General features: G+C 39.4%; 1 protein-coding gene and 1 pseudogene across 5 annotated transcripts in view; one reads left to right on the plus strand and one right to left on the minus strand.

Annotated features, from left to right (window-relative positions):
* The window catches only part of SPMIP2 (sperm microtubule inner protein 2), a 189752-nt gene that overhangs the window by 126012 nt on the left and 51149 nt on the right, over positions 1-12591 (minus strand). The window lies entirely within an intron of this gene.
* FABP5P12 (fatty acid binding protein 5 pseudogene 12) lies at positions 6918-7579 on the plus strand (annotated as a pseudogene).

A 12591-nucleotide genomic window follows, 5' to 3' on the forward strand; every position in this document is an offset into this window, starting at 1 on the left:
CCCAGCTGGAGTTGCCCAAATAGACCGCTTCACAAGAAAGTTTCTGCCTGTGATATACCCAAGTGGATAGTCCTCCAACACCAGTGCAGGAAAGTGATTCAGATGCTGGAGAACAAGCAAGAGCTCAGAGCTCTTTTTGAGACTCCGTCTCAAAAAAAAAAAAAAAAAAGCAAACCATAGCTGGATAAATACACCAGTGAATGTCACCTCTCATAATTGCACAAGATTTCCTCGGAGTAGAGGTGGGTATCTACTTGGTGATATCTGTGGAATGGCCTGCATCTTTTCGTCTTTCTCTGATTGCAAGGAAGGAAGTCAGTAATGGCTTATAGATGCGGGAACTTTGCCCAGTACCCTGACATCATGAGTGCCTCCCCTTCTGTTTGGTGCTTATCTGAATTCTCTTTGCACGTGGAAGTGGATGTCATGGCACTGGAGAGGCTGCCTGGCCAGGGCAGCAAGTAAGGGTTAGAATTCAGGAAACCAGCTCAACCCAGTTTTAGCACTGAAAGTTCAGTGTCCTGGGAATCCCTTCATCGTGAATACACTGGGACAATTGGTCAACTTAGGCCAGAGTGTGGCTGTGGCAGGAACAAGGTTTTGCTGACCTGGACAACAGGAGAAACTAAAATCAGAAGAAAAGGCAAAGGAAATGTACAATGAGAGGGATGCCAGCCATCTGGCCTGCTGGGTTTGCTGACTGGAGAGAGGGGGACAGTAAATCAGTTCTGGGGGACAATAAATTAGAGTTGATTTGTAAATCTTTCACCTAGATTCCCTAAATGGGCCGGGCACGGTGGCTCACACCTGTATTAAAACTACAAAAATTGCTGGCATGGTGGCACATGCCTGTAACCCCAGCTACTCAGGAGGCTGAGGCAGGAAAATTGCTTGAACCTGGGAGTCGGAGGTTGCAGTGAGCCGAGATTGTGCCACTGCACTCCAGCCTGGGCAACAGAGCCAGACTCCATCTTTAAAAAAAAAAAAAAGATTCCCTAAATGTCCTTTGGTAGCAATTTTTAATAATGTAACTAGAGACTAAGGTTTGTGATTTTCTATATGTGCAGGTTTTCCCTTTTCATTCTTCTTCCATCTCTGTGCAATTGTAGAAGAGAAAGAAGCTATGGAGAGATGGGTAGGGGGTGGGATGGTGAGTAGAACAGAGGGTAAGGGTATATCAGTCATTTGGTGAGGGTAGGAGATAGCAGAGGATCAAAATATTTGTCATCCCTTTTAATGAACAGACTACAGGGATGACGGTTATGGTAGAAGTTGTCTTTGAAGCTGCCTTATGTTAGAGTCACTTGCTCAAAATTTTATCTACTCAGTTGTGTCCAGTGGAGATGTGACAAAGTGAGTGCCCCACATTGAAGTATCCCTGCCCTTGGACCTTCTGCCCCTGGGCCGGTTAGAGGTAAGGGAGTCTTTTCCTTTCCAGTTATCTGCGAGGCTACCCTATGCCACCTTCTGGGAAGTCTGAACTCTGCTTTAACAGATGGTCCTTAATTTTCATACAATACATAATTTTCTTAAGGCCACAATCACAGCCCCAAATGTATGCTTCAACTTCCAAACGTTTAAGCTAAGGCACTCTGACGTTCTTTTTTGTCGTTGTTGTTGTTGTTTTTGTTGTTGAGACGGTGTCTCACTCTGTTGCCCAGGCTGGAGTGCAGTGGCGCTATCTCGGCTCACTGCAAGCTCCGCCTCCCGGGTTCACGCCATTCTCCTGCCTCAGCCTCCCGAGTAGCTGGGACTACAGGCGCCCACCACCACGCCCGGCTAATTTTTTGTATTTTTAGTGGAGACGGGGTTTCACCGTATTAGCCAGGATGGTCTCGATCTCCTGACCTCGTGATCCACCCGCCTCAGCCGCCCAAAGTCCTAGGATTACAGGCGTGAGCCACCGCACCCGGCCTCTGCCGTTCTCTTAGGAGGTCCACAGTGGTGCAGCAATGGTTTACACATATAGTTTCTGTCTGTGGTTCTGTCACTTCATCACACAGAAATGACTAGACAAACTCCCATCCAAATTTGGAGATAATCTGACTTAATTAAAAGCTAGATGTTATGAATAAATCTCACAATCTTCTAGAGTCATCCTCCAAAGCCATTCAAACACAGGCACAATAAGAGGCAGCCATAATGGCCAATTGGAGAAAGCCATTCACATTAAGATGCTGTGGACCAGGACAACTGTGAGCCTTCATCACAAAATCACAGAGGCAGAGGTTTTCAGTGTCCCGCATTGATTTGTGAATGAGCAGCTTCTCCATGCTGGTGCTCATGCCTCAGAGTGCTCCTGGGTGAGCAGCAGCTGGGAAATTGCTTATTTAACCATGATTAATGGGATTCTTGACCAATATATAGAATAAGATAAATAACTTTGTACTTTATGGTCTTCACACAAACAATCCATACATGTGGACAATAATTCCACAGCATCTTCCTTCCTTCAGAAGCAGAAGTAGAATCAATACAATGTTATAGGATTTACTGCAAATCCTGATTTCTATCTCTATCTTCTGAGTAGTTTTATGCCTGGGTCAATGCTATTATTTATTTTTAGCTCACTTACAAGGGAGTCTAAGATACTCAGTTTGAGAAAAGAAAGAAATCCCCAAGATCTGGAATGGATTGTTTTGTATCCATGCAGACAAAAGAAGCTGGCATTCCTCAGGACATTTCCATATCTCCAAGGGTGTGCATATCCTGGTGAGGGGTGGTGATCAGGAAGGTGAGTTTGGTTCAGTGGTGGATCTTGCGTTCTAAGTGACTATAGAATCCTCCGAAAAGGAAATAAATGAAATCTACGATGTCAGTTCCTTGGTATGATCTGGAATCATAGATCATTTTATTTTTTTAACTTCTTTATTCAGCCCACATGATGAGCATGCCTACTTTGCTCTGTTTCCGTTTTATGAAAAGAGGGTGGTGATAGCTACTTAGCTTGTAAATGGAACTTTGAAAGAGTCTGGAAATCCCTAAAAGAAAGAGATGTGGGAGGTATTATTTCCTTGCAATGAACACAGAATTTATGTAACCCAAATGCTACCAGCATTTATTCACTAATCTTCCCTTAACTTCAGATTTGTTTGCATAACTTTTGACGACTTACATTCCTAATTATCCTGTCACCAGTGCCGTCATTCACTGGGCAGAAAACATATTCCATTTTTATATTATCATTTACAGAATGGTATTATACATGCTAATTTCAATAATTAAGTTAAATAATAAAATTAAAAGTATGTTCCCATCTTCTGATCTTCCTACTAAAATTAGATCGTAAAGAGCAGTGGAATTGGAGCACATGTGAGCTTCAAGGTGCAGAACATACACAGCTCCTACTGCTCTGGGCCTACTGTGTCTCCCACATGTGTCACTGGACTGCCTGCATCACAGTCTCCTGGTGTGCTTCTTTAACATGCAGGCTCCTAGGCCCCAAAAAACAATTTGGGGTATAGGGCCTGAGGCTCTGCATTCTTAAGTGTCTCCATAAGTGGTTCTTATGCATATTACATCTTGGCCTGCAATGCCCTAGATACGGATTGTGGTTAGCTCAGAGTCCCCTTCAGGAAGACTGTGATGGTTAATATCGTGTGTTGGCCGGGCGCGGTGGCTCACGCCTGTAATCCCAGCACTTTGGGAGGCTGAGGCTGGTGGATCACGAGGTTAGGAGATCGAGACCATCCTGGCCAACATGTTGAAACCCCGTCTCTACTAAAAATACAAAAATTAGCTGGGCATGGTGGCACCTGCCTGTAATCCCAGCTACTCAGGAGGCTGAGGCAGGAGAATTGCTTGAACCAGAAATTCGGAGGTTGCAGTGAGCCGAGATCATGCCACAACACTCCAGCTTGGCGACAGAGCGAGACTCCATCTCAATAAAATAAAATAAAATAAAATAAAATAAAATAAAATAAAATAAAATAAAATAAAAATATATGTATATAGTGTGTGTGTCAACTTGACTGGGCTAAAGGATGCTCAGAGATCTTGTTAAATATTTTTTCTGGGTGTGTCTGTGAGGGTGTTTCCAGAAGATATTAACATTTGAATTGGTAAACTGAGGACAGAAGACCGTCTCACCCATGTGAGTGAGCATCATCCAATTCCTGGAGGGCAAGAATAGAGCCAAAAAGTGGAAAAATGGCAAATTTGTGCTCCACTTGGACCCTCAGACATCAGTGTTCCTGGTTCTCAGGCCTCAGGTTTGGAGTGGAACTGTACCACCGGCATTCCTGGTTCTGTAGCTTACACACAGCAGATCATAGGATTTCTCCCTCATAATCACATGAGCCAATCCCTCATTTGCTATATCCTGTTGGTTCTGCTTCTCTAGAGGACCCTGTAGTTACGTCACTTCATCACACAAAAATGACCAGACAAACTCCCATCCAAATTTGGAGATAATCTGGCTTAAATAAAAGTAGATGTTATGAATAAATCTCACAATCTTCTAGAGTCATCCTCTAAAGCCACCAACAGAATGGCTGTATCACAGACAGAATGTTCACAAAGAACCCCAAAACAGGATTAGGCTCACATGTTATGGCACACTGTATCTCTTTTTTCCTCAGTAACCACCCTTGCCCCCAATTATGCATTTGTGAGTTTTGATCATTGTTTAATAAACTTAGAAGCTGCTGTACTTGTTCTAGCCACCTCAAATTCCTGGCTCTGCCCTCAGGTCTCCGCTCCTCCAGCCAGAGAAGGTCACCTGACTGCCAAGAATAAAGCTTAGAAATAAAGCAGATCTCTCCTCTCCTCCACGAGGTTTCCCAGGGCTGTTGTAGGTCCTTTTCAGAGCTACAGTTAGGTATCATCCTGACTAGGAACTCAGTTCTGCTCAGACTCAGCTTGGAAACGAAGTAGCTGGATGCCTTGTGATGTTTGTCTGGTTCAACCCTTACTACAGAGCAGGGGCAATCCATCTGTGTTCATTTCTTCCTCTCAAATGACCACCTCTCCTGCAATCCTGTCCTTTCCAGAAATTATCTCCTTATTTTAGAAAGTGCTGCCTCAAATAAATGATTTGACCAACTAAATGATTTGACCAACTAAATGATTTGATGTCTCTGTCAGTGCCATTATTCTTGAAGACATGGATAATCTTCTATCCACTGCAGACTTTTCCCTGAGGTATATTTTTCTAAAAGGTGATATCTTTGGTCAAAGGGGGCTTTTAATAGGCACGGTGAAAGGTTCTACCTTTTCTGAGATAATTACTGGCAACTGGGGTTAGCAAGACAGTGAGGCACTTTATCCTTTATCACTTGCTGTGAATGAAATTGACTAGGATCATACACAGCAGGGGTCAAGGGTAAAGTGCTTCCTTGCTGGCGTTCAACTTGTGCTACCTCTCCTCTTGCAAGAAAGGGAAGAAAGGAAAGGGAAACGGACTCAAGGGAAACGGACTCAAGGTAAACAGACAAAATGACGCCTGTAGTTAAAAGCTTTCCACCAGAGGCCCCTAATGAGATCTTTCTATTCTTTCTGAATGACATAGAGTTTTCATCAACCAAGATTATGTAAACTAATGAAGTTTATAGGCAGAATTCCAAACTTGGCCATTCTACTATAAAATATTTTTAATGGAACTTGTTTTTCTTTAATGTTATTTAGATCAGGTTTACAAGAAAATCCAAAAAGCCAATGTTTGTCAGGATAATGATTAGCATCACAAATAACTTCATCTTCTAGGCCCAGTAGCCATTAGTTTACTTATATTGCTTGTGACCTACCTCAGGTGACGATATGCATATACATATATAACACATGTGAAGCCTACCACATGCCAGACACTAAGTACTCTGTACATATTACCCCATTAAATACCCTATGAAGTAGATATTATTATGGCCATTTTACAGATGGTGTAACTGAGACACAGAAGGGTAAGTATCTTGTCCAAGGTCACAACAATAAGTAAGTGGTGGAGCCAGAATAGTTTAGATCCTTGCTACTCAAAATGTGGTCTGGGAACCAGCAGGGTGGGCATCACCTGGGATCTTGATGGAAATGCCGACTCTCAAGCCCACCCCAGTCTTGCTCTGTCGCACAGGCTGGAGTGCAGTGGCATGATCTTGGCTCACTGCAACCTCTATCCCCTGGGTTCAAGCAATTCTCCTGCTTCAGCCTTCCAAGTAGCTGGGATTACAGACGTGAACCACCACACCTGGCTAATTTTTATATTTTTAGCAGAGACGAGGTTTCACCATGTTAGCCAGGCTGGTCTCGAGCTACTGAGCTCAAGTGATCCCCCCACCTCGGCCTCCCAAACTGCTGGGATTACAGGAGTGAGCCAGCACACCCACCCCAAAATCTGCATTTTAACAAGCCTCTCCAGGAGAATAATTTCCACATTAAAGTTTTAAAACCATTTGCTTAAATAATCTTAGATTATTTCTTCCTGTATTTTAAAAACCTGCTTATGGCTTCAGACTTTGGGAAATAAGGTGTACTTGGTTGGCTTATTAAGAAAAAAAAAGAATTTTAAGATGGTTTTGTGTCCTTTCCCCAGCACCAATCTCCCCCAGATAATCAACTTCTCAAGAGAAAAAAACAGTTTAAAAAAATTATTAAATTCATATTATTTACAGGTGCTTTCATTTCATTAAACCATGATAGAAAACCTTATAAAAACCTTATATCCCCCAAATTACAGATTTTTTAAAAACTGAGTTCAAAAGAGTTAAGGGGAAAGCCGACATTGGTGTCTAAGTTTACAGTTTTTGCTTCTTGAAGCAGGATCTTCATGCTTACACCTATTTCCTAGTAGGTAGCACAGGGCCTGGCACACAGTAAACAATCAACTCATCTTGCATTTAATAATTTTTTCACATCCTGTTTCAACAACAGAAACTTCTTTTTGCTTAATCAAGAGCATTTCATCCTGATTTAAAGAAGTGATATTCACAGTGCGCTGCCCATGCCGACCTTGCTAAGCTTGCTCCACACACCCTCCTATGCCCACCATGACCACTGTTCAGCAGATGGAAGATGATGCCTAGTGGACAGCAAAGGCCTTGATGAATACGTGAAGGAACTAGGAGTGGGAATAGCTTTGTGAAAAATGGGCACAATGGCCAAGCCAGAGTGTATCATCATTTGTGATGACAAAAACCTCACCATAAAAACTCAGAGCACTTAGAAAACAGCACAGTTTTCTCGTACCCTGGGAGAGAAGTTTGAAGAAACTACAGCTCATAGCAAAAAAACTCAGACTCTCTACAACTTTACAGATGGATCATTGGTTCAGCATCAGGAGTGGGATGGGAAGAAAAGCACAATAACAAGAAAATTGAAAGATGGGAAATTCATGGTAGACTGTGTCATGAACAATGTCACCTGTTCTCAGATCTATAAAAAAGTAGAATAAAAATTTCATCATCACTTTGGACAGGAAATAGCTATGAAAATCAACAAGCTCAGTTCAATGGGCAAATCTCCATACTGCTTCTTTTTTTTCATTACTGTGTTCAATTATCTTTATCACAAACATTTTACATGCAGCTGTTTCAGTATCAGATTAATTAGGATCATCCCTTTGGTTAATAAATAAATGTGTTTGTGCTAAAAAATAAAAAATAAAAAAATTAAGAAGTGATATTAACATAACCTACAAAGGATCAACTTTGGAAAATTAAATAAAGCCATGGAAAGGCAAATAAATCCTCCTCCCTTCCATCTTAGCTTATGCAGTAATTATTTATATACATATATTTATATTTATATATTTATATTTATGCATATATAAAACAAAACCAAAAAACTTGAAGTTAAGACAAAGCTTTTCCTTAGAAGTCCTCTTCTAAGGGGTTGGTTCAGGTGCTTTTCAAAGGGATAGCAGCAACTGATTTTTTTTTTTCTGCAAATTACACTGTGTTGAGTTAGGTGACCAACAATTTAAGGTAGGATTGATTTGGAGTTGCTGTCACCTATAGATAAGGCTTTCATGTAACACTTATAGTTTTGTAAATGTAATAATATGTCTTATGAAAAGAACAGTGTTTGATGGAGGACAATGAATAAGGTCTCCCACTTTTGCTATTATGATAGCAACGCCTAATATCTAATGTCCTTATCAAATAAATCACTGCAACTGGATATAATTAAGCTAACTAGATGTTTGGCAATTTTGTTTTCAATAAATGGCCCATTATATTCTATCAGAAGATCATTTCCAACTATCTTAGCTTTTAATTTATTATTTTTGAGTAGACTGAAGAATCATGGTAAGGACATATGTATATTGTCTACAATATATCTTAAAGTAATAGAACAAATTTTGATTCAGGGCAAACTGCATGCTATGACAACAGAATAAAAGGCAGGTAAAAATAAAAATAGACAAATAAAATGCAGTTTAGTCAACCCAATGTTTCAGTACCATTAAAATGTGTAAGCTTTTGTCATGAATTAGTTTTTAAAAATCTAAAAGAGTTGTCTTGTGGATTATAGTGCTGGGACTTAAACTGCATTTGCAGTAGGACTATTTTATTATTTCTTCAAACAGGAAACCACTGGCAATTCAGTGTGAAGTCATTTTCTATTTTTAAAATAATTGAATCTGAGACATAACTATTAGTATGACAGTTTCACAGAGCAAAAAATAAGATGAATAAGTGGGTCTGAAATGCTGGCTAATGGAGCAATACATTTCAAAATTACATATACATTTATGTGCTTCTCCGACCACTTACAGTTTCATTCATCATATCGTTTTTTGGCCATTTCCTAGAGAGTATTTCCAATTCTAATGTATTTCTAACAGAAATTTCATGCTGTGATCACTCCTTTGTAAGGTAGAGTTCTGTAATATTTCTGGTTTACATGAGCAGACTTTCTAGTAGGTATATGATGGCTGACTAAATATATTAATACTTTTATTTAGTCAGTAATCTGGATGTAAGGCACATAAATACCCCATATAAACAGGGAGCAGGCAGAAGCTTCCATCCTTCTTACAAGGCTGTGTGGCCTTCAGCAAGTCACTTAACTTACCTGAACCCTGAGTATTCCCATCTGAAAAAATAGGTTAAATTAGATTATCTGTTATAGTGCCTTTTTAATTTTATGTCTTATATTAACTATTTCTTAACTATATTTAATTTGAGCCAAGTAGGAATTAATGAAGAAAAATCTGAATTAAAGAATGTATTTTTAAAGAAATGTAATTTTTAAGTATTTTTTTTTCCTTCGAGATAGGGCCTTGCTCTGTTGGCCAGGCTGGAGTGCAGTAGTGTGATCACAGCTCACTGCAGCCTCGACCTCCCAGGCCCAAGCTATCCTCTGGCTTAGCCTTCTAAGTAGCTAGGATCACAGGTGTGCACCACCACACTCGGCTGATTTTTAGAATTTTTTGTAGAGATGAACTCTCTCTGTGTTGCCCAGGCTGGTCTCAAACTCCTGGGCTCAAGCAATCCTCCCACCTCTTCCTTCCAAAATGCTAGGATTATAGGTGTGTGCCACCGCATTCAGCCCAAGTTTTAAACTTTAAAATTGCATAGGACCTGGAACTGGGTAAACAAATTAATGTCATTTGTATGTAAACAGATGTTTTAAAAATATATAACCATGCTCTAAAGTAGTTTTAAATTTTCTTCCTAATTTTGTTTATAAGGTTTTTATAGTAAAATCTTTGTAATACAAAAATAACATTTTCTAGGCAGGTGCGGTGGCTCACACCTGTAACCCAGCACTTTGGGAGGTGAAGGCTGGTGGATCACTTGAGCTCAGGAGTTCGAGACCAGCCTGGCCAACATGGCAAAACCCCATCTCTACTAAAAATACAAAAATAAGCTGGGCGTGGTGGCGCACACCTGAAATCTCAGCTACTCGAGAGGCTAAGGCAGGAGAATCGCTTGAATCCAGGAGGCAGAGACTGCAGTGAGCTGAGATCGTGCCACTGCACTCCAGCCTGGGCAACAGAGCAAGACTCTGTCTCAAAAAAACAAACAAACATTATTTATAAAATCTCCTCACTATGTCATTACAGAACTTAGCAAATTGGTAGTAAAACTTCTGTGGAAGAATAGCCAGCAGATAAATGTTTTAAAAGTACAGATGGTTAGCTTGCCCTATTAGATTAAAACTCACAGTTATCGAAAACATGAATTATAGAAATCAGAACAGCATCTGATTGTGGGAGGATTGACTGGGAAAGGACATACAGGAACTTTTTAGAGTGATAAAAATATTCAGTATCTTAATCTAAAAGTGCATACATAAAGGTGCTCACTTTGTAAAATGTTATCAAGCTAAAGACAAATTAATGTACTTAATAGAGTATGTTATATATCAACTTTTTAAAAAGGTTTTAAAAGTTGGATCCACCGATAGTTTTTTCAAAAAGAATTTCAATTCCTTTATTAATTGAAAGCTAAATAAATTCCAAGATCCATCTGCAATGTAGGAAGTAACTTATGCTCTAACTATGATACTCAAAAAGAAGAGAAATGAGTGGGAAAACAAAACAAAACATATGGCTGAGTTTTGTGTAGTGTTATGTGAGGTAATTTCCTGTTATTTCTCAGGGTTTTTGGAATTGGATTTGTGTTTCCTTTGGATGCCACACTATGCTGTGATGGATATTCAGACTGAGCAAATCAACCCTATTATGTTCTGGTTATCCAATAGATTATAAGCTTCTAGAAAAGAGAACATTTTTTTCATGTATATTTTTGTATCCTCCAATGCTAATGGACAAGTTTTTAGTACTTAATTGGCACTCAATTTGTTAAATTGGATTTCAAATATGTAGGATAAAAAATTAGCATCAAAAATGTATTTTAAAAGGAAATATATCAAAATTTGATAGAAAAATAAGACTTGATGAGTGATCACATTAGTTAAGTGGTCGAGTATACCAGCTAGATATATACTGTGAATCATCACATAGAATAATGAAGCATCAGTGGAAATTTTTTAAAATGAAAATTAAAATAACTGTAGTTATAAATGACAAATAAAAGAATAGTGTTGGCTGGGTGCGGTGGCTCATGCCTGCAATCCCAGCACTTTGGGAGGCCGAAGTGGGCAGATCTCTTGAGCCCAGGAGTTCAAGACCAGCCTGGGCAATATGGTGAAACCTCATCTCTACAAAAATACAAAAATTAACCAGGAGTGATGGTACACACCTATAGTCCCAGCCACTTGGGAGGCTGAGGTGGGAGGATCACCTGAGCCCAGGGAGGTCAAGGCTGCAGTAAGCCATAATCGTGCCACTGCACTCTAGCCTGGGTGACAGAGTGAGACCCTCCCTCAAAAGAAAAAAAAAAGAGTAGTGTTATGCCTATGCCAAGAGAAAGCAAAATTTTATTTATTTATTTATTTATTTATTTATTTATTTATTTATTTATTTATTTGAGACAGAGTATCACTCTGTTGCCCAGGCTGGAGTGCCATGGTGCAATCTTGGCTCACTGCAACCTCTGCCTTCTGAGTTCAAGCAATTCTCATGCCTCAGCCTCTTGAGTAGCTGGGATTACACGGGTATGCCACCACTCCCAGCTAATTTTTGTATTTTTAGTAGAGATGGGGCTTCACCATGTTGGTCAGGCTGGTCTCAAACCCCTGACCTTAAGTGATCCACCTGCCTCGGCCTCCCAGGTGCTGGGATCACAGGGTGTGAGCCACCACGTCCAGCCAAAATTTCACTTTAAAATTAAATTAGAAATCAATAAAAATCCTATGAAACTCTTAAAAGTGCTCTAAAGTAACTCTCAGAATTGCTGCGAAATTCCTCAGTATTTTCTCATCCTCTACATGGTTTTTTTTACATTATTGACATCCAAAATAATTTCTAAATGATTTCTCATGATATTTTGTTGTCATATTAATTATTAATAGTGACAAGATATTTTTCTTGTTTTTATCACAATTACACAATATTTGCATGGATTAAATCAATCTTTTGTTTGCCTAGCCTGGGTACTTCACTTAAACTAATGTTTTTATGAAAACACGGACTTTATATTAAAAACAGTTCCAAACATGGAGGAAAGAGCTCCAAGCTCCAATAGGTTAGAAAGGTGGTAAGTGATGGGCCTTATAGGAGTTAAAATTATTATTCTTGAACAGCTCAAAAGTTTGATTTCTGTGAACTGACTGCAGTACCATCTAAGACATAAGCATCCCTAAAGAGTTGAACTTGGCTATAATCAAGCCTCTAGAGCCAAATTCAGTTTACAGAGAATAAAGGAACAAGTTAAATGATATGAGAAGGAAGTAATTGACAAATTCGGAACGTTGGACATTTCTGCTGCATAACTGATCCAGTTTCTGCAACAAGTAAATGGCAGGGAAAAAAGAAGGGAAGACTGCACCAGTTTAAAATAGACAAAAAGAGAAAACACAACTGAATGCAATGTGTGTTGGATCCTTATTCTCAAAATCAACTGTAAAAATACATTTTAGAGACAATCAGGAAAATTTTGTTATGGAGTTGTTAATTACATGATGCCAAATGATAGTTATTAATTTTGTTAGGTGCAGTCACGGCAATGTGACTATGTAAGAATATGTTCATATTTTTTCAGATGCACAATAAAATATGTAAGTGAAATAATATGATATCTGGGCTTAAAA

The sequence above is a fragment of the Homo sapiens genome, chromosome 4, assembly GCF_000001405.40.
Source record: "Homo sapiens chromosome 4, GRCh38.p14 Primary Assembly".
NCBI classification, from domain to species: domain Eukaryota; kingdom Metazoa; phylum Chordata; class Mammalia; order Primates; family Hominidae; genus Homo; species Homo sapiens.